General features: G+C 37.0%; 2 annotated features.

The window, feature by feature from the left end:
- Positions 16,400-16,609: an enhancer, noted in NCBI's record as "active region_7977". NCBI's record gives its function as "activates an Ori minimal core promoter by ATAC-STARR-seq in GM12878 lymphoblastoid cells {active_cell/tissue: GM12878}" and the evidence as "EXISTENCE:reporter gene assay evidence [ECO:0000049][PMID:35858748]".
- Positions 16,660-17,069: an enhancer, noted in NCBI's record as "active region_7978". NCBI's record gives its function as "activates an Ori minimal core promoter by ATAC-STARR-seq in GM12878 lymphoblastoid cells {active_cell/tissue: GM12878}" and the evidence as "EXISTENCE:reporter gene assay evidence [ECO:0000049][PMID:35858748]".

Below are 23,941 nucleotides of genomic sequence, written 5' to 3' on the forward strand. Positions count from 1 at the left end.
CATCTAGCCCAAAATTAATGTGAATTAAAATATCTATTTCACAGTCAAAAACTGAATGGAGAGAATGTATCACTAGCTGACCTACACCAAGGGAGACATGACGGGTGTTTTCCAGACACATGGAAAAGAATCACAGAGGGAGGGAGAGAGTAAAGGATGAGGAATAATGAAATGCTAAACATGATAAAATATAAATACATAGTATATAAAAAATAGCATACAATTGGGGAGGATACAGAAGTTTTAAGTTGATTGTAAGGCATTGCAATGCTTAAGAAGAGGATACAAGTACCAAAAGTATTAGATCTTTAAATGAAATTCTCCTTATTGTATAACAGACAGCCACTAAACTGTGCAAATAATAAAAGTACAGTTTGTTGAATAAGTAGTTTGGTGAGTAACCCATATAAATAACAACCTAATCAGAAAATAGGAAATTATCAGAATACAGAAGCTTCTAAAACATATAACCTTCCTCTCTAGCAGTAACCCTTATTATTAGATTAATGCTATAATATAAACTCTTAATATTAATATATGTATATAATTTGATTTTGTGTTTTTCAACTTTATACAAATAGTAATATGTGATATTTTATGTCTGGCATTTTACTCAACAGCAGCTTTGTCAGAAATATTCATGTTGATGTATTTTGCAGTAGCTCACTAATTTCCATTACTACGTAGTGTTCCTTTATATGAACATGCCAGAAAGTATTCCACTCTCAATGGATATTTTAGGTTTCCCCCTCTTTTTTTCTTGTAGGTTTTATCATTGTGGAGTCAAAATGTTGACGTATTTCACACTGAATCAGTGAATTTTAGGAAAATACAAATGTACTTAAGATATGCCGGAAATCATTTCAATAGAAGTTAATGTAAAAATATAGATGGACTTCCATAGCTCCAATCACTTACCTGTTAATTTAACTCCAAAACACAAACAATTTGGCCAGGCACGGTGGCTCATGCCTGTTATCCCAGCACTTTGGAAGGCCGAAGCGGGCAGATCACGAGGTCAGCAGATCGGGACCATCCTGGCAAACACGGTAAAACCCCGTCTCTACTAAAAAAAAAAAGAAAAAATTAGCCGGGCGTGGTGGCGGGCGCCTGTAGTCCCAGCTACTCGGGAGGCTGAGGCAGGAGAATGCTGTGAACCCGGGAGGCAGAGTTTGCAGTGAGCTGAGATTGCGCCACTGCACTCCAGCCTGGGCCACAGAGCGAGACTCTGTCTCAAAAACAGAAACAAACAAACAAACAAAAACACATACAGTTCTATTAAAATGAACTGCAGAAATAACAAAGAAATCTGAGTAACCTTTGTGAAATCTTTCTCATCAGAAGGTACTGTTTTTTATGCCTGACCAGAAAATTCTGGAGGGCCTGCTAAACTACTAAACGCTGAGATTGTCTCATGAGGTGGGGAGCCAAGCCTTGAAACATCAGCCACGTCCAGCTCTGCTCACTCACTCTGTGCATTGTCTGGGAGGGGGATTCAGGTGGGTGGTGGGGGCTTATGGTTTACTGAAGTGGTGGCTCTTTCTTAACATGGTAAACAGAGAATCAAATTTCAACTCTTTTCACCATGAAGTAGCACAAGATAACACACTTGGTATCTGTCTCACGTAAAGTTTCCAAATAGCTACCAATGATGTAACTCTGAAAAATGACAACACAAGCTGTCTTATATAGGTGAACAAAGTAAGAAAAGCAATGTATAAAGAGTAAAATTATAAAGTGTGTAGACCATGTGGAGAGTGGTAGAGGACGTAAAGATGGCATAAATCATTGAAACAGTTTTATCTGTAGTTTTTTTTGTCTAAGCCTTGGCTCTCAGCATAATGGCATTTGGCCTATTAATTCTACACACACACATAAACTGCTCTCCACCAATCATTTGGTAAGCCTCTTAAGTATACATTTTATCTATCCCTTCTTATAAACCAAAGTTAATATTGTTATAAATACAGTAATAATTCAAATATTAAAATTTCTTGTATTTTGCTTAAAAAAAACAAATTTTTATCATTTTTTATATGTTGGGGAAATTGCAGACCATGTCATGTTTCTCTGTATTCCTAAAGTAAAATAGTCAAGCGAGTCCTGAATCATGTACATTTTATGAGAAAAGATGTTATTTCTATATTTTACCCACCATAATACATATAGATTCTAGCATATTGTTTGGCGTAATTAAACACTCAAAAAAATTTAATGTTTGAAAGAATGTAAGTGTTTATTCAACAGTCAATCAAATCATAGATGTAGTTAGTCAGGGGTGATTAGTACTGACTAGGTTATGATGCAGTAAGGAGTATCTCAAAATCTCATTGGCTCCTAACGAAAACATTTCTTTATTGTTTATGCTCCATGTCCCATGCGGGTTGGCTGGGTGAACCTGCAATCATCCCACATAGCAGAGCTTCCACCATCTTACTATGCATCTCAATGCAAGATGTCAAGGTTTGCCACAGAAGGAAAAAAGAGCATGAGTAATCACACATCAGCTCTGAAATGTTTCCACCTTAAAATGATCTCATATCACACAATTATGCCTAACTTCAAGAGGAATAGAAATAATAATCCACCTAACATCTTCCAGAAGGAAAAAAGAATCAAGAATATTGACAAGCTGCAACAACTTCTGTCTTGGCAAGAAACTACAATTACCATTGTGTGTTTAATATAAATTTTTAATTGGGAGCCTCTAATAAATGCTAGTATACTATGATAAATTTTAATGGCAATGCCCACGGGGAATAAGGAATGTATGGGTTATTATGCGATAGATGATAGATAGATAGACAGACACATATATCCCAACATACTAACACAATTTTATTGAAAAGAGTCAAAAATCATAGATTGCAATCTCAATTCCAGCTCTTATCTACTAAGTGTCCATGGAGATATAATCTTTTAAAATCTTAGTCTTCTCCTGGCATTGAGCAAGGGATTGTAGGGAGGAGCAAAGTATCTTGAGTGTGTGGAATATGTATTTGGATACTGAATGTGATACTTAATTCCTGAATAACTGTCAGTTACTTACAATAAACCCTTTGAGCCTCAGTTTCCTTAGTTGTAAAATGGAGATAATAATATGCAATTTAACTGTTGCCGTTAATACCAAATAAGATGCTATGTGTATTTACCAATGTGTTCTGAATTTATGTTATTAACAATTAATAGAATTGTGCCTAATTCATATGATTATGTGAGGCCAAAATGTATTGGTAGAAATGATAATACTGAGGCAGCCCTTGGCACAAAATGGGCACTCAATCTTCAGTGATCTGATATTCCAGATGCACCTTAACAATGCACTCCACAAGTAGTTGATTAATACCTGATTGATTCAGCAATACAAAACATGTAGAAAGGCAATGAATCCGTATCAGAGTAAAAGGTAAGAGTAAAACAAAGCAAGAGCAAAAACCAAGATTTTACCCATTTAATTTTTGGAAATGGTTAGAAAAAGCACTGATAGAACTGATGACATCCATGTTAGTATGTTCCATAATTTATTGACATAATTCATGTTTAAGAAACAATAGAAAGCAGACTGGGCGCAGTAGCTCACGCCTGTAATCCCAGCACTTTGGGAGGCCAAGGCAGGCAGATCACGAGGTCAGGAGATAGAGACCATCCTGGCTAACACGGTAAAGCCCCGTCTCTACTAAAAATACAAAAAAATTAGCCAGGCGTGGTGGCGGGCACCTGTAGTCCCAGCTACTCAGGAAGCTGAGGCAGGAGAATGGCATGAACCCAGGGGACGGAGCTTGCAGTGAGTGGAGATCATGCCACTGCACTCCAGCCTGGGCAACAGAGCGAGACTCTGTCTCAAAAAAAAAAAAAAAATAGAAAGCAAAGGAAATATAGAATGATATAAAAATCACCTTGAGTCCTTCCATATTGTGGTAAGCAATTTTACATTCTTTGATGCATGATCTTTTGAGATATTTATTCTTATATGTATAATAGCTTTCAAAGAAATGTGTGATCATATTATACATCCTATTATAAAACTTTTTTACACCTTTAAAAATTGTTGTGAAAAAAATTAAGCATCAGTAAATATTATTCTCTTTTATTATGCCAGAAGTTTTGAAGCACTTATAACATCCTCTGAAAAAGTTTAGAAATTCAGGCAAATTTTAATATCTAATTTATGGAAGTTTATCATACTCTCTTTTTTGCTTTCTTTCACAAATATGTTGGTCATTCTTTGGCTTTTCATTTACCATAGAATCTAGGGAACTCAAAAGAGCCATAAGTTTTGCCTATTGATTTTCATTGCATATAGATATAGGAAAGAGGTTATAGTAATGATTGAAGGGTAAAGCAATTCTCCTCATAATGTCCCTAATTTCAACCTAGGAACATTACTCTTCTAAGCACAAAAGTAAGAACTTGCATCTGGAAAATAAAAGTCAAATAACTGTTGCATCACGAAAGCATGTAATACTTATCTCACGCAAGACAGGATAGTTTTCCTCCAACTCCATTTAGCTAGTTAATTATACTTTTTTTTTTCCCAAAAAAATTAAGGTATAAGTAGTCACATATAAGAAAAGGTAATGTTTTCTATCTTGGTTTTTACTCTTTAACTTGCATACGTAGTCATTTTAAAGGGATTTTTTGTGTGTGTAGTTTTCTCTTCCTTGTTTCCCTGCCCCCTAGGACACACTCGGTTTGACTTAGCTTCTCAGCCCAGCCACTTAAGGATCAGGGAGTCCCTTAGAAGGAAATGCCACATCATTCACACTGCATGAGTGTCCCTAGTCTCCAGGACTTAGCTCCTCAAGTCCAAGCAACCTTGGCATCTCTCTAATGCCTTCAGAGAGACTTTTTACAATGTATTTTTCCCATATTTTCTAGTTATTTTCACTGGGAGGATTGATCCATTTTTTTTATTAAAAAGACAATTTATATTTATATGCAACAATTTATTAATTCTCACAGCAACTCGGCCAATCTGATAATACTATTTCTAATTTAGTATTACATAACTAAGGGTTTCTCTATTTAAATGGTTTACTTTTCCAGTCTCAAGTAATTGGATGAAATCGCTGGGATTCGATCCTACTCTGTGCCAGTTCCAATACATCCTCACATTTATATGATGTCCCAGACAGTGTGTTGGGTGCTTGATGATGCATAATTATTTGACTTAAAGTGGCATCATAATAAGTGGCATTGTAATAAATTCTAGCATCCACGCAGGATTTGTTTCTTAGATTTCTTAATAGGTAAAATAATAATAATTTATTGACAATAAATTATATTAGTGTGTTCTAATAATATTTTAGAAATCAGTAAACTTAATCCATGGAAAAAGTGCCTGATAGCAAACAGAAACAAAAGTGCACAGACAATGAAAATAACAATGTAATATAGTTTAATCCCAAATGATTTCTCTAAGATAAAGTCAAACGTAAATTTCTAGTTCTTCCATAATTCTGATCTCAGAAACATAATATTTAAACAAAACCAAACAGCATTAGTGTAATGACCAAGAAAGAACTAGCCATACATCACAAAAAGATATGCTAAAGTAAGTCTCTTTCCAAGTTATTGACAATTACTCAAAAGTCATATGTTTACAAGCTTAACTTAACCACTTGTGTGATTTTCCTAGGGAGTGCCATAGACGAGACTAGAAAATGTGGAAAACTGAGTATGGTCGACAGGGGAAAAATGGAAGAAGTTTACAGTGTAGTTTAAGTTTATGATTCGAAGCACGCCTGCTTGAAATCTGGTCTACTTGCACGTTTTTTTCTACCTTACTTGTCACATCACTAGGTAGTAAATGACAGCAATTGCAGAGAAGCATTTCCTTGCATGTTTATTGATGAATACCTTAATAGAGGTAACCATAGAAGAGCAAAAGACAAAGGCTAATTCTCCTAGTGCTTTGTGGATCTGGGATTATTTGCACAAGGTGGACACCCGTTAGCATGCACAATGGCTTCCCCAAAGAGGTAAATGAAAGTTGGAATCAAAAAGTGTCTTTCTTAACTTTCTGGAAGTTTCAGGATTATAATAGAAAAATATATACCAAATGAAAACAAAAATCAAGCATCTCAGAAATCTCAATAAAAGAAAGAAATATCAGATGAGACAGGAATAAAAAGTGAAACTGATGGAATTGTAATGAGATAAAGGAATGAAGCAGGCAACCTAAGATTTGAGTCTACAGTATTCCCCTTGTTCATACTATTAAAGAGAAAGTAATAGTTTTGCATTTTGAAAGTGAGACTAAGTAAAATGAAATTAAAATGACAAATGATTATTTTAAGAGTAATCTTTACAGGTATAAGTGGGATTCCAAATATCTCAGTCCTCCACACACTATTATGAATTACTTAAAGGAATTTGGAGATGAATGTAATGCACTGTAATGATTGTCAGAGTAGGCAAGGTAAGGGAATATGTTTCAGAAACATCCTTAGTTAATTGTCATAATAAGAGGTATCAAGAAAATCAGAGACAGAGTGACGATCTCATCAAGAAGGATGCTTTAAGAGACGTTTATTCATAACAAATGTCTATGTTTAGAATTAGAAAGACTATGAGGCTGAGTTGCTTCTATGAGCTGTAGGAGTCTATTAGAAACAGGCATGGTGAATATAATGATAGCAATAAGTACAAAACACCATTATAGGAAGAAACAAGCTTTGAGACTCATCAGCCAAACCTTCTAAAAGGAATCTTGCTTTTTCCTTTAACCTTTCTAGATATGTCCCAATACTGTTTTCTTCTCAATATGTCTGACATATTAATACTTGCTGATACTCACAAAGCCTAAAGGAATGCATGTGAATGTGTACTGTTCGGTCTTAGTAACCCATATTATACTATCACTGAAATACAGACTTGAAGGTATGATCTTATAATGATTTCTCTAAGCCCTCAGCTACCTCTTCATCTTGCCTAGACTGGCAATTGTGCCATTTCTTTGCAAGGGTGCAAACTCCTGGTAAGACTTGAGGGGAAAAAGAAATAAGCTTACTGAGGGAAACTTCACTCATCAAGGGTGCTACATGCCTGACAGTACCAGTCTTAATAACAAATCACTTTCTTTGCTGCAATTCATTCAGAGACCCAGCTGGCATGAACCCAGGATGATGTTGGATATGGGAAGTAGATTAATCACTACTGATCTATTAGGAACACCAAGAATCATGTGACACTGGGAGAAATGTCAAAATTATAGGTGGTGACAAATTTGAGGAAAATTTTGCTTTTAGAAGCCATGCAAAATGTTAGGGTTCTGTATAGATTGGTTTCGGTGTATAAAAAGACACTTTCATATGTACACGAGCTGCCTATTTAATAAGAAGGATAAAATGAAACATCAAGCAATTATTTAGTTTTGTGAACAACAAATCTAAAAGTTATTAAGTATTTTAAGAGACGATGAAAATAAAATGCTCCAGTAGTAAATCGGATGTTATTAAAAGGTATGAAAAAGACAAAAAAGTACAAATCAAACACCATAAACAACATTACAAAAATTAAAAAAAGTACCACTAATCAGAATAATATTATTAGATTAACTTTCTAAGGGTAAAAAAGAAATATGACATATATTATTTAGTTTAATGTTAGTAATAGGAAACTGTTTATCAACGATGTGAAACCATTCCTCAAAGAAAATATTGTCCTGATAAATAAGCTATTTAAAAGATTAATAACAGCTAATGGTCAATTTTACTCTCAGTTGTCTATTCAAAGTTAGTGCAGATAATTGACAATCACAGGCAGTTGCTTTGTGCTGCTGTGTTTGGGGTATGTCAAAATGGCGATTTTCTGTCATGAGTACCTCCCAATCACAAATTAGAATTAACTTAGCTCCACTGGACTTTCAGAGGCCCAGCTTTATAAATGTCATTCCCATTTAACAATAAAATGCTATTGTGCACATCAAATTTTGTGGTTTAAGGATCATACAATAGCAGTTCATAGTGGGCCGTTAAGTTGCATAATCTCTTGGTTACCTATATCAAGTTGTCAGGTGCTCAATCTTAGGAACTAATTTTGAAATGGCGAATAATTGTAAATAGAATAGAACTAGTACTGTGATTCTCCTAGTGGGGCTTTTCAGAGTCTTCTTATTTGCCAATGATATGCCTAGGCCTTAAGTGAGAGGCAGGGAAGCTTATACTGTATCTAGGAACTGTTGCAAAATTGGACTTGGTTCAGGTCCTCTAAAATATATCAGTCTAACAGATTTTGGTCAGTGGGCCGAACAGTCTACCAAAATGTGGCTTTTTCTTCATGGTAGATAGTGCAAGATACAGAAAATTATCTCAGAATATTTTTAAGATTCCCCGATTATTGGACTGCTAAGAACCTCTCCAATTTGTGAGGCTCTTGGATTTACATGAGCCTTGTATCTTTTCTCTGTCATATTCTCATATTAAAGCCTGCTGCACTGTACTCACCAGATCCAATTAGCGCAGTATCATCAATGAACAGAGAGTATGATGTTCTATGTACTATTAAGGTGACTGAGGGTCCTGAAATCTACATATTTCAGAGAGCAGGAGAGTAGATATTATCCTGAGTTAAGAAAAGGTGATGGCACTGCTGTCCACGTCTCAGGAGGCAAATTGACCTGGCTGTCATTGTTAAAGGCTGTTGGAAAGAAAGCACAGTACTATGTCGGTAGCTGCATGCCACATGCCAAATGTTAACACTGTTTGATCCAATAAAGATAACACACAAACTATTACAGTTGGAATTAGTGAGACCACCCAATTATATTTTTAATTATTCCTTTTCACTCTGCATTTCCCACCTGCCTTTTTCAACTGGCCATTCAGGCCAGTCATACAGAGACGTGCTGGGAAGACCCCTGTACCTCTTGATGGTGGCACAAAATTCTTCTGTGCTTTTATGGATGCAATAATGCTTTCAGTTGGTTACTGTGAGGGATGATGGGTAAAAGGGGACAGTTTCAGGGACTCTGCTTGTCCTTTCCTAATATAATAGCTCAGTTCACAAATATGGTAGCCAATGTGAAGGTCCTGCATGTCACTGAGTATATCTACTCTCACTATGCCTTCTAAAACATACAATACAATAACTACAAGATGGATTTGGGGTTCAGTTGGACCCCAGTGAAATGGACTTAAGCCAAGAATCCATTTATCCCTTGACCTCTGTAAGTTCTTACTATTAGCAATGGATCTTGGTGGAAGCTCAGCAGATTAGTATAAGAACACAGACAACATAAATCACAAATTCTATGTGTTGCCTTTTTACTAACAGACACTCAGGTAAATGTCTACAGGTACCTTTAGGAAGAGGTTTGGAGAGATATTCTCAGATACCACAGAAGCCTGTGATATAAGTTCTTCCTCCATTAAACTGGCTTCCTATCAGTTGAGGAGAGCCAGTTTTGTGAATTGACTTAAGCTAGTATCTTAGTTCAGGCTGCTATAACAGCACACCCAAGACTGGGTGGCTTAAACAATTGACATTCATTTCTCCTAATCCTGGAAGCCAGGAAATCCAAAGTCAATGTGTCAGCAGATTCTGTATCTGGCGAAGGCCTACTTCCTGGTTTGCAAGTGGCTTTCTTCTCCTGTATCCTCACAGAAGAAAGAGAGAGGATTTCATGTCTCTTTCTCTTTTTTTAATGGAACTGATTCTATCATGAGGGTTCCACTTTCATGAACTAATTACCTCTCAAAGGCCCACCTCCAAATACTATCTAATTCAGAATTAGGGTTTCAACATATGAATGTTGGGGTGACATGAACATCCAGTTCATGAATCTTCACTACTTCAACTCAACTCGATTTCAACAACCTTTACCTTATCCTATTATATATGTCAAACAGTACCTAAAAGGGTTACTCATCTACATCTTTCCGAGATATTAGTGATGAATCAGCAACAACCACAGATAACTCAAAGCATATTATGGTAATTGGGTGCACTTTATCTCATAGCTAAATGTTACTATTTGACCTCTACCACTGTGGAACCACTGTTAAGAACACGTATCTCAAAATAATAAGAGCTATCTATGACAAACCCACAGCCAATATCATACTGAATAGGCAAAAACTGGAGGCATTCCCTTTGAAAACTGGAACAAGACACGGATGCCCTCTCTCACCACTCCTATTCAACATAGTGTTGGAAGTTCTGGCCTGGGCAATCAGGCAGGAGAAGGAAATAAAGGGTATTCAATTAGGAAAAGAGGAAGTCAAATTGTCCCTGTTTGCAGATGACATGATTGTATATCTAGAAAACCCCATTGTCTCAGCCCAAAATCTCCTTAAGCTGATAGGCAACTTCAGCAAAGTCTCAGGATACAAAATCAATGTGCAAAAATCACAAGCATTCTTATACCAATAACAGACAAACAGAGAGCCAAATCATGAGTGAACTCCCATTCACAATTGCTTGAAACAGAATAAAATACCTAGGAATCCAACTTACGAGGGACATGAAGGACCTCTTCAAGGAGAAATAAAACCACTGCTCAATGAAATAAAAGAGGATACAAACAAATGGAAGAACATTCCATGCTCATGGATAGGAAGAATCAATATCATGAAAATGGCCATACTGCCCAAGGTAATTTATAGATTCAGTGCCATCCCCATCAAGCTACCAATGACTTTCTTCACAGAATTGGAAAAAACTACTTTAAAGTTCATATGGAACCAAAAAAGAGCCTGCATTGCCAAGTCAATCCTAAGCCAAAACAACAAAGCTGGAGGCATCACACTACCTGACTTCAAACTATACTACAAGGCTACAGTAACCAAAACAGCATGGTACTGGTACCAAAACAGAGATATAGACCAATGGAACAGAACAGAGCCCTCAGAAATAATGCTGCATATCTACAACTACCTGATCTTTGACAAACCTGAGAAAAACAAGCAATGGGGAAAGGATTCCCTATTTAATAAATGGTGCTGGGAAAACTGGCTAGCCGTATGTAGAAAGCTGAAACTGGATCCCTTCCTTACACCTTATACAAAAATTAATTCAAGATGGATTAAAGACTTAAATGTTAGACCTGAAACTGTAAAAACCCTAGAAGAAAACCCAGGCAATACCATTCAGGACATAGGCATGGGCAAGGACTTCATGTCTAAAACACCAAAAGCAATGGCAACAAAAGCCAAAATTGACAAATCGGATCTAGTTAAACTAAAGAGCTTCTGCACAGCAAAAGAAACTACCATCAGAGTGAATCGGCAACCTACAGAATGAGAGAAAATTTTTGCAATCTACTCATCTGGCAAAGGGCTAATATCCAGAATCTACAATGAACTCAAACAAATTTACAAGAAAAAAACAACCCCATCAAAAAGTGGGCAAAGGATATGAACACACATTTCTCAAAATAAGACATTTATGCAGCCAAAAGACACATGAAAAAATGCTCATTATCACTGGCCATCAGAGAAATGCAAATCAAAACCACAATGAGATACCATCTCACACCGGTTAGAATGGCGATCATTAAAAAGTCAGGAAACAGCAGGTGCTGGAGAGGATGTGGAGAAATAGGAACACTTTTACGCCGTTGGTGGGACTTTAAACTAGTTCAACAATTGTGGAATTCAGTGTGGCGATTCCTCAGGGATCTAGAACTAGAAATACCATTTGACCCAGCCATCCCATTACTGGGTATATACCCAAAGGATTATAAGTCATGCTGCTATAAAGACACATGCACACATATGTTTATTGCAGCACTATTCATAATAGCAAAGACTTGGAACCAACCCAAATGTCCAACAATGATAGACTGGATTAAGAAAATGTGGCACATATACACCATGGAATACTATGCAGCCATAAAAAAGATGAGTTCATGTCCTTTGTAGGGACATGGATGAAACTGGAAACCATCATTCTCAGCAAACTATCACAAGGACAAAAAACCAAACACCACATGTTCTCACTTATAGGTGGGAATTGAACAGTGAGAACACATGGACACAGGAAGGGGAACATCACACACCAGGGCCTGTTGTGGGGTGGGGGGAGCGGGGAGGGATAGCCTTAGGAGATATACCTAATGTTAAATGACGAGTTAATGGGTGCAGCACACCAACATGGCACATGTATACACATGTAAATAACCTGCACGTTGTGCACATGTACCCTAAAACTTAAAGTATAATTTAAAAAAAGAAGTTTTATGCATCAAAACAAAACACAACTAAACTAAACCAAAAACAGAAAAGCTATCCCAATAGAGAGAGAGAGAAAAATAAAAATAAAAACTTAAAGAATTGATCAAAAAGTAAATTGTTCTTAAAAAAAGTTTTCATTTTTGGATTTTGTAATGTTAGTTCTATTTGACAACTGTCCTTAAAGTTCCATATTTTGTGATGTTTTTCTATCATCATAAATCAATATTCCTTGTATTTTTTTGCATTGGTAATATTGTGCATTTTACTTAAATAAGGACTTCGAATTTGTAGCAGCCATAGGACTCACAAAACTTTGCTCAACCCCTGAGTCTACATGGATTGCAACATCAACCAATGCACCCATGACCTTTGCAGGAGAAATATTATTACATTTCTTTAGGTCCCGGTGAAGGAAAAGGTGTTGTCCAGCCTTACCAGAGATATAGCAGGGGAACAGGAGGGATGACAGCAGGTTCTTCTAAATTAATCTACTCCAATATTCCTTTGTGCTAGCGCTTTTGTTCCTTCCTTTAGTGCAGGGGCCAAAAATCCTTTCTTAGAGAGTACCAGACCACAAACATTTTAGGTTTTGTGAACTGTACAGTATCTGTCAAAACGATCTAACTGCCATTGTAGTACAAAAACATGCATAGATAAGGCATTACTGAGTTTGAGCATCTGTGTTCCAATAATACCTTATTTACAAAAACAAGCTGGCTGGCTGGGTTTGGCTCATGGTTTGGTTGATCTCTGATACAGAGTTTGCCAGAGCAGCTTTGCAATTCAACCCCACTGATTAAGATAAGTCAGACTGAATTCACTAACTTAGTTAAACTATCAGTGCTGCTTCCAGCTGCTTACAAAATCCTTGCTCCCTGTAGGGTATATCACCCTGTTTTTTTATGCTTTTTGGTCTAACACTCTCAGAATCCACTCCAATATGTTCCCTAGATTCCTGTCAATTGAATCTGCCACTTTTTTGGTGTATAGAATTCCTTTCTCCTACAGGAGTTTTTTACTCCTCCAACTGGGGTCTGTTGGAATCTGATTTTTATTGTGGGTCTGGGAGCCATGAAGGTGGTGAGCAGAAAAGACAAGTGCTCCAGGGGGAGTCACTGCAAGAGTTTCAAGAGAAGCCTGATTCTTTCACTCAGCAGAAAATCCTTACTTTACCAGATAAGGAACCTTTAGGATGACTTAAGGGTTAAAAGTTACTAGCCTTGCTTTTGTCTGCGGGGATATCTCCATCCCATATCTCAGTAACACCCACTCTTCCCTTAGATCTCCTTAGTAAAATAATTCTGGAGGGTCACATTCATTAGTGCTGCAGTTCTGTGACAACTGCAGTTGGGAACTGGGCTTGAGTTTCAGCCATATCTGCCCTGGAGCTATGGCAGATTAAGGCCATTTTTAAAGCTGTCTTGGCGGCCATCTGAGTTCCTCATGTGAGCCTTGAGTTGGGCTTACATTCCAGTCTTTTAGTTGGTTCACTTCCCTGGATATCCTTTTTAGAACCACCAGCAACAGCAGCCTGAGCTTTGCTTATTACACTTATCATTCTAGTTATGGCTACTGAGTCACAGTCATCTGCTCTCCAAATGCCTTGCCCTCTACCTGCCTTCATGATGCCACCATATGACACAGATCATCATATTCCATTTTCCCCGGCAAGGGAGATAATAAATGCATTCATTAAATATGTGAATGATTTAATACCAGAATTCCAATCTAAGGTTCTGCTTCCTCCAGCCAATTCTGGTGACAATTTCTATATCAGTCAAAGTCCTGGAAGAAATTGATGCACTCTCAGGAGGTGAATTGAAGAGATTTCATAGAATATAATGAGTAATTTATAATGGTGTTGGTTGTCCTGTGTTAGCCAACCATGAATAATAAGAACCCTAGCGTTGATAAGCATGGAGGCATTACTGCCCCAGGTCTGAAAGGGCAAAGAAAGGGAGCATTTATTGCAACACAGAAACCGGTAGCTGTAGAAGAAGACTGACCAGCAGAAGTTGTGCCTTTTAAAAGGAACGCAGCCAAAGCCAAAACGTGCATTGTTAAGAAAGAAGGCAGAGGAATAAATACCCTTGCTGCTCTCTCTCTTCCTACCATCTGATGACTGTTGGTGCTGTCTATTGGCTGACGCCAATCAGGAAACAGAATACAAAAGAGCTGAGTTTACATGACCCATAGAGGTAGCTTTCTGGGCCACAGAACAGGGAGAAAAAGATTAGAAAGGAGAGCCAAAGAGGCAAAACTAGAATATGCAGGACAGAGATCTTAGATTTTGATCAAGCTACTTATCTTCTACTAGTCTCAGTTTCTTTATATGCAAAATAATTTTTATTATCTACTAAATAAGCTACAATATGCAAAGTCTATGTGTCATGGCAAGTATTCACTAATTTATAGTTGCTTATCTTATTATTTTGAGATTAAACACAACAGAAGAATAGAATGGTCCATAAGTAATGTCATTTGGTGCTTAAAATACCTTGAATGAATGTGAAAAATATTTTACATATTATCTGAAAAACATGTATAAGAAAAACTTATTATTTGCATTGAAAGACAACTATATTTAAAGACAGATTATGGAATGGATGTTCAATAAACAGTAGTTTTTCTTTTCATTACTTGGAACTCTACAGAAAGAATATTCAAAAGAATCTCTTGTGGGGTAGAATTTCCCAAAACTAAAATTCTTGTTACACCTATACAATAAATTGTCAAAAGACGATCATCATTACTTGCAACCAATGGAACTTAAAGATTAATTATGTAAAAGGCTACATAATTTCCTAGTCCCAGAGAACTCCCCAAAATTACTTTTATTTATTAACCATAGTAGCTAATATTCATTCCAAAGGGAAACATATTTAAATGGCTACTTGCATATGAATTAATAGTGATTAGTGAATACCAAAGTAATTCTGCAATGACCACCAAAACAGAAGTACAAATGCTAAAGATAAGAAAACAAAGGATGTTAGAATTAACTAAAAGATTTCCTAACACAACTGCAATCATCAGGACATACTGGTCTTGTGTAATCAGCTTTCTTTTTTTCTTTCTTTTATTTTTGCTTTACATATACCATGGCCTATATATTAGCATAGTACCTGCTAATGCCAGCAAACACTTGCTGATGCTCTTTCTCTCTGATATCATCCAGGATGTTTTTTGATGTTTCATATGTTTTAGGCATGGAGTTTCTTAGAGGTAGAGAAAATATCCTTTATGGGCCAGGCGCAGTGGCTCATGCCTGTAATCCCAGCACTTTGGGAAGCCGAGGAGGGCGGATCACGAGGTCAGGAGACAGAGACCATCCTGGCTAACACGGTGAAACCCTGTCTCTACTAAAAATACAAAAACTTAGCCGGGCGTGGTGGCGGGCGCCTGTGGTCCCAGCTACTCGGGAGGCTGAGGCAGGAGAATGGCGTGAACCCGGGAGGCAGAGCTGGCAGTGAGCCGAGATCGCACCACTGCACTCCAGTCTGGGTGACACAGCAAGACTCTGTCTCAAAAAAAAAAAACAGAGAGAGAGGAGAAAATATCTTTTATAAGAAGAGGAAACTTTTACCAAATTATTAACTCTCCTATTTATAAGAGCTTCACAGAATCGATTCCTGGTTTTCAGAAGGCTGTTTTCAGCTCCAGAAAATTAACCCAGTGGGAAGGAAATTTCATCAATTGATTTTAGTTGCCTTAGATAATCCACAGGGGCAAGTAAGACCTGGACTACATCTCCACTGAAATGTGGGAGAATTTACAATTGGCATACAGCTGTTTCCTGCTACTGCCTTACTCTAGAGAGAGGATGACTTATCACTCAACTGAAGCTCCCAAAAGAAGAGCTGTAGGAGGCCTTGTTACCTCACACAGCTGGCTAAACTCATAACCTGCCCTGTCATGATTGCTATTCTGGGGCTTGATCGATAAAGACTCGGGTGTTCTCAATTCTGTTCTTTTCTTTGCAATCGCAACACTCAACAATTTCTTGCTTGATAACTATATGCAGACACTGCCCTCACTTCCCCAAGGAATTGCACTGTGCCTGCACATCCCTGTCACTTTCACAAAGAGGCAGATAATTTCCTCTCACTGGATAGGGTGCTATGTGGAAATGACGTGAAATCCGCTCAACCTGATTTCCAACATGTGCGTTCGTTTTCTCCCTATTCAGGTCATAGTGATTCATGAGAGAGAGAGGCAGAGCGGGAACTGAAGCAGTTTCAGCCTCACCAAAGTACCTTTCCCCTAGTTCCTCTTACTGTGCTCATTATCCTTTCTTTCCTGCTTACCATACATCGTTTACCAACCCTTTGAAAATTTAAACTACCAGGTTCATCTAGCTCTGGCACTGCTAGAACCGAGACTACAGAAGATGTCTGAGTCTTCCAAGCTATTTGGGTCAAACAAAACAAACAAAACCACACACAGCCACCGAGTTGGGTTATTTTAAGGACTTAGAGCTACAGAAGGCAATCTGTCAGCATCCGAGGCTGTTTCAAAACCACCTCCTCCCTCCGTGCTTGAGTCAAGAGCTGCAGTCTTTCTATCGCCCATAGCCATGCTGCAGCACTTCCTCAATCACCCTCTTCTCGCTGCACGCATTGACTTTCGGTTTCTTCACAGAGTCACTGACAGCTTGCAGCTTTGGCTTATCGATAGCCCCGTGGTTCTCTCCATCCATGACCTACCAGATGGCATTTTAGTTTAGTTCCCACCACTCACTGCCTTATTTAATTGGTATTTCTTGCCCCACATTTCCAAAGCAAGCCCGGTCTGGATTCTGTTTGGTTCAGCCATCTCATGGGTCTCCAGCTGCTTCCCTGTCCTGTAGGCGGCCTGCGTGAGGCGCAGTTCCTACTTCCAAGGTATTGTGGGGCAGTGGCTATTTTTGCAGGCTATTGTGAGGCAGCAGAGGTAAAGTATGAGTTGAAACATACAAACAAAATATGGCCCCTCAGCATTGTAGAACTTTTGCAGATAATGAATTTTAGAACCAAATAGAGCAGGACATTTGTTTTCACAGTGAGTCTTATGGCTCTACTTAGAATCTTGTCACTCTGTTTTGCAGTCACCTCTCCAAGTCATTGTCTTTTATTGTACCCTTGAGAAACAATACTGTTTCCATTCCAACCACTTTACTGAGTATTTTTACTCAGTGGTCAGGTCACAAATAATCTGTTAAGTTTTAAATTCAGTTGTCTTGTATTGCTGATTTCTCTGTCTTATTTAATGTATTATTCACTTCTTAAACTATTTCTCTTGTGGGTTTTTTGGCACTATATTATCTTCTTTCTTCTATGATTAATTTTGTATTTCTTTCTTTTAAATCTCCTCAGCAATCACCACTTAACTATGAGCATTTCTCAAATGTTTGCACTTTTGCTCCTCAAATTTTATATTGTTCTAATCTGAAGGCACCCATGAAGTCACTGCACTGCATGGTTACCTAAGTGCAGATTACTCCAACATTTTAAATTTCATATATTGATTTCATTCCAGCAGAACACTTCAGACTATCTGACTCAAATTTTCAAGAGGAGATTTCTTACCAGGGAATTGAAGTACATGCTCAAGCTGCTTACATGCCCATATGTTCTGTTTCCACTTAGGATAAAATATTTTCTAGTCCAGTACTACAAAATCCTTCCTTGTATTTGACCCTTCACACAGATCTCAATACATGTATCTATTGCTATTCAAGTCATGATATCCATTGCAATGCAGAATGGTAAGTAATTTATTCACAGTACCGATTGATATTACAAACTTTTAAGCAGGGTACGGCAAAAGCATTAGATACTTTATGTATTAAAGAAGCTGTTAACTGTTTTAACAGATAACTAACTCCCAATCCCAAAATTGTATAGTGTAAGCTCAAAAGCTTACACTATAGAAGTTTATATCTCTCCTTGGTAAGATCTGCTCAGGACTCCCTGATCAGTAAGTGACTCTCTTCCAATGTCTGGTATTCTCACACAGAGACTACTGTGTATGTATTTAGATGAAAACAAATGTCTGTGTTACTGGGAACTGGAATTTTGACATGAGAGAAATAAATACATAATTAAGAGAGAAAAAATTTTAAGAGAACACCTGTATTATCAATAAAAATCAGATGAATGGCATCTCTTATTAAAAAAAAAATAAAGATACCCTCATCCGGCCCACAGAAAATGACTAGAAACACTGACCCACTCAAAAGGAATGAGCACTACTGGTACCTAGGATCAGGACTCTTAGGGAAAAAAAAAGGCATTATTCTGAAAACTTATAGAAGAAAAGGAAGGAGTCAAACATTCATCTTGCATTCTCTTTTTAACCCCTTCTCCAGGAGTCAGTTTTCATCCATGACTGGTGAGCTCATAAAAATAAACTGATATTGAGTAGGATGCAGTGGCTCATGCTTGTAAATCCAGCATTTTGGAAGGCTGAGGTGGGAAGATCGCCTGAGCTAAGGAATTTACCAACCTGGGCAACATAGTAAAACCTCATCTCTACAAAACGTTAAAGAAGAAGAAGAAGAAGAAAAAAAAAAAAAAAAGCCAGGCACACACCTGTAGTCTTAGCTACTCAGGAGGCTGAGGCAGAAATATTGCTTGAGCCCAGGAGGTTGAGTTTGCAGTGAGCTACATTTGTGCCACTGTACTTCAGCCTGGATGACAGGGTGAGATTGAGAAAGAAAGAAAAGAAAGAAAAGAAGGAAAAGAAAAGAAAGAAAGGAGGAAGGAAGGAGAGAAAGAGAGAGAGAAAGAAAGAAAGGAGGGAGGGAGGGAGGGAAGGAAAGAAGGAAGGAAGGAAGGAAGAGAAACTGATGTTATGTTCTTTAAATATGAGTACACAACATTATTACATGTGAAGAATTTTTTTACCAAAACCAAAATAAACTAGAAGACAAGCCATTTTTCATCAACCAATTTACAAAAAATATAGGGAACAGCTGAAACTGTTAAGTGACATGGCAGGGCTTCAATCAGTAAAATGCAGACTCTGAAAACTCTACAGGACAAACAATCTGATTCTTCAAAATACAAAATTCATGGAAAACAAAAAGACTAGGATGGGGGACCTAAAATATAGTTATGGAACACTAAACAATTACAATATATGGACTTTGCATATTTATTTGAATAAAAGTACTAAGGCTAAGAAATTTCAGCACTATTATTTATGATATGAAAAAAATTATTGCTAATGTTTAGGTATAATGATATTGTGGTTATGTTTCATGTGAGTTTTGTATTTTAGGGACTGGCTTTCCTATGTTTGGAGATGAAATATTACGTTGTCTGGGATTGTTAAAAACAATTCTGAGTCAAAGAGAAATTGGCAGGGATTTAGAGGAAACAAAAACTTCCCATGATTTGATGATTGCAGAAGCTGAATAATTGGAATATATTTGTTCATTATACTACTCTATGTAGTATTTCATGGAGTTGAAAGATGTTATGAGACATGTTTTTTAAAGAAGTTTTGGGGTGGGAAATGGGCAGAAATGGAATGGTATGTGTGGTTGAGATAGGGGAAACCGAATAAGCCAAAAGGAAGGAAATATTTTAAAACCCAGAGTGCTATATACATGAAAAGATAGTGTTTTCAGGCAGTAGTTTCCATTTCATACTTAGAAACAATGAGCTATTAGACTGAAAAGAATGTTGGGCCATATTGAAGAGCTTTTACAGATGTGCTGATAACCTTGGAGACAGGAGACAAGTGAGAAATGTATCCAACGTGGAGGCAAGAAACAAATATCTGTGTCATGGAGTAGGTCAGGGAATTGGGATGAGGGCACACTACATGAGAAATGTGGCAGAAACCCATCTTATGCAATGAATGAAGAAACTCAATGTGGAGGTAAAGGAGGAAGGGAGAGAATGAAGACATTTTCAAAATTTTGGAAACTGGTGATAGGAGGAGTTTTGAAATACGACTACTAATAAAAGAGCCTAGGAAAGAAGGCTATTGGGATGTGTGGGAGATGCGAGGAAAGGGAAAATTATTCTCAACTTCACCGCTCCCAGCTCATAACAAATTCCTTTCAAGTGTTTCTTCTAATTATCGCCTATGCCCATCATTTCCTTTTTTTATTGACACTACCAATTTACTGGTAAAAACTGAAAGCTCAGACTGTTCCTTGTCCAAATTTTCTAAATCCTTCCTTTGAGCAAACCAATGTCTGCCTTATTCAAAATGCTATGATAGTTCCCCACTGACCTACAAACAAAGTCAAGAATTTTTAGTGTTACACTTTTATTCTCTAACTACTGCCTTCATCTCTAGGGCAATTTCCTACTAAACTCAACATGATATTAAATTTACATCAGGCTAGTCTTTTACCTGAAGTCTGACTTCATGATTCTTTCAATATTCTATTTTTATTTATGAAAAATATTCTCTGTGCCTCAAGGCACAGCTGTGTTTCCACTCTCTCTGTATGGGTTGTTCTGAAAACTAAGCCACAATCAATTTTTTTTCCTATTTGAACAACTTCAGCATTACACAGAGATGCTGTGTCCATCTATCCTAGTGTTACACAAGGCAGATTTGTCCAGTGTGCAGTCCACGTGACAACATGGGTCTGCATCTGCCCTTTCTTGGTCTGTGGCCTTGGTTTGATATCTTGACTTCTCCGAGTCTCAGGTCTACATTTCCAGTGACTTCTCATCTTATTTCTTGTTAAAACTAAATTCCTCGCCCAGGTCTGCAAGGGTCTAGGTGATTTCACTTCCGTCGGAATCTCTAATTTCTTCCTCTTCTAGCTCCTCTCTTGCTCAGTTGGCTCCAGCATGAGGCCTCCTTGTGGTTCTTTGATGACAGTGAGCATTATCCACCCAAAGGCAACCTTGTGTCTGCTTGTCTGGCTCTTCAGCAGATGGTCACATGGCCCAACTCCTCCTTCCTTCATTCTCTGCTCAGTTGTCTCCTTGTCAAGGAGGCCTTCCCTAACCTTCCTCATTGATATATCTCCACCACCCCAACCTACATACTCCCTCTTTCCCTAAGCTTAGTTTTTTTCTTTTCTTTCTTTTTTTTTTCAACATTAGCATCACTTTCCATGTTGTATGTGATGTGATTATTGACTTCCCTGCCTGGAAGATGAGCTCTAGGAGGGAAGTTATTTTGCCTTTATTCACTGATCTATCAACAAAATTAGAACAAATAAATCATGTTGGGGATTGGCTCATATTAGGCTCTTTATTCTTTATAATATTTTTAAAAATTAATACCTTACTATTTGTTGTGTAGAAATAAAGTGAGATAACTGATTCATGGTGCTCAATTAGTGGAAATTTTTAATAACATTTATTATCTAGTTTAGATGATTTTATTTGAAAAATATTATAAACCTATTGAGCATGGATTATGTGTCAATTACCTTCTTCCTTTAATTATTTGAAGCAAGAGGTGAGCTTTTCTTGTCTGCTTTTTTGGAAGTATGGAAGAGAAAGAAGTAGTATCTATTTCCAAGTTTTGAAATGGTCAGATCAAGGAGAGGAACCACATGTAACTTTTATTATTTCCAGGACTTCAGTCATTTTTTCTACCTTAAGTATGGGATCACTCCTTTAAAAACTCTAACTTTTCTCTCTTATTTCAGTTTTTAGACAAATTTAGAATCAGAAATTTGTTTGTGGGTTTCCAGGAAAAAATGGTGCCATGGCAAGAGTGTGAAAATGAAGGGAAGGCATTTACATGAAAGAACAAAGGGGTAATTTGGACTACGAGCCTTGCCATGAGTCAAGTTCTGGCGCCTGCACATAGAAGAGAACAAGAACAAATGTTCAAAACAAAAGCAAATGAAGTCAGGCCTGTAGACATTGAATACATCCTAGAAAATACGGTATGCATTTTGTCTTCAGTAAATAGTTTAGTTGTTCTATAACTGCAATTGTTCTCACTACTGTTTTGAAGCACAAAGCTTATAGGCATAGTACTAGAAAAATCATTTGGGGAAATGTTTTCCCATAATTTAATCTAATATTTTCTGTAAGTATAATTTCAAAGCTAAACCATTCATTAGCCAGTCCACCCACTTCTAGTTCTGTGAGTAAATGTATTTAACTTACTTTAGGTGAGGGGAGGAGAGTAAAGGGCTTTAAGGGGAGGAGAGAAAAGGGCTTTAAGGGGAGGAGAGAAAAGGGCTTTAAGGAAAGCTGATGACTCTAGATAGTGATAGGCTAACTAGGCGGCAGCAGCACCATAATAATGAACACAGCTTGATCTAGGAGGTATACAAATAGGAGACATTTTGTAAATATAAACAATTATATTTGTTCATATTTTCCAAAGTCTATAAAATAATTCATAATGCTTCACATTCTGCTATTTACTCAGCTACAGATTACGCTCAAGATTGTTTTCCACATCGTAATAATTTTGATAATCCTTTTTTGTCATTTCAATTTTTTTATTCTTACCTCTTGTAGATGTAATATAAGTTAAAAATGGTTGATTTGAAACAGAAAATGTAAACATCACTAGCTTTCAAGATTGAAAAAGCAAATGATTAATTAAACATTGATGCTATCACAAAGTAAATTTTATCTATACTTGCTTTAAATACGTACATACTGGAAATTAAAATAAATTACAACTATAAATGCTTTTTATTAAATTTTTTTTAAAAAAACAAATGACCTCTACAAATCCTTACTGTCCTCTAGTGATCTCAAATACCACCTGGAAAGGAATCCATATTTCTACTACAATAATTGTGTAGTTTGTCTTGAAAATGTTATTCAAGGACAGCTTCTACTCAGAAAATTATAATCAAAAATATACAAAAGCACTTCGGTTATAAAATAGATAAAAATATTAGCATGAATGTCAACAGGAGAAGACTGTATGAATATTGGTTTGAGTAATAAGTCTTGAGTCTCCATTCACAGCCAAACACTTCAGAGCTTTGACAAATGTATGCTTTTGGTAAATGTCTATTTATCATGACATACATTGAACTAAACATTATACATTAGGATCTAACATTCTTCCACTCAAAAGCAAAACAAACAGAATTAGTTTCCAATGATTGCTTTGTCACTTATTAGCTGTGAGACTACAAGCAATTCACTTTAACTCTATTAGCCTGTTTTCCTATTTCAAACATTGTCATGATCAGTAATGTCCGTCTTGGGACAGGCATGCAATGTCCATCACCATGACCAATGGCATGTCAAGAATGGTCAACAATCCATACTCTATGGTCACTGGAATTTACTCTGAGAGAAGGGATTCTTCTAGTCACTAGTTGAGTTATCCCAAATTTCTTCTGTTTGCAAGATGCACAAATCAATTCTTTATTCCCAAAAGCCTTTTTGCACAAAGCTGCTCCAGGCTTGTTAACAGAAAGCCATTTCTGGGCCCATCAGTAATCAGTTGACATTAGAGTAAAGAAAAATGTCATAATTACAGATATGGCATAAGAATGACCACCAAGTATGAAATAGCAGTAGGAGCAAATGATTAATGTGATAACATATGTTCCACAATGCAATTCTATTTATTTAGAATTATCACTTGAACTTTTTGTTAAATAAAATCAGTACAATTTTTAAGAAGAAGTACCACTTAGGCTGGCAGGTTTGCACACTTTTTTTGGGCAGATTTGTTTACCTCTCACCATATTACATTTTTAATGAAAAGAACATGCTATATGCAAATAAAAAGCATATTGCTTTCCTTGTGTGATGATTTCAAATTCTCAATTATTCAGAGAGGTAAAAATTTTAAAAGTGTAAAAACAAACAGGT

This window comes from Homo sapiens, chromosome 13, assembly GCF_000001405.40.
Source record: "Homo sapiens chromosome 13, GRCh38.p14 Primary Assembly".
In the NCBI taxonomy this organism is placed as follows: Eukaryota; Metazoa; Chordata; class Mammalia; order Primates; family Hominidae; genus Homo; species Homo sapiens.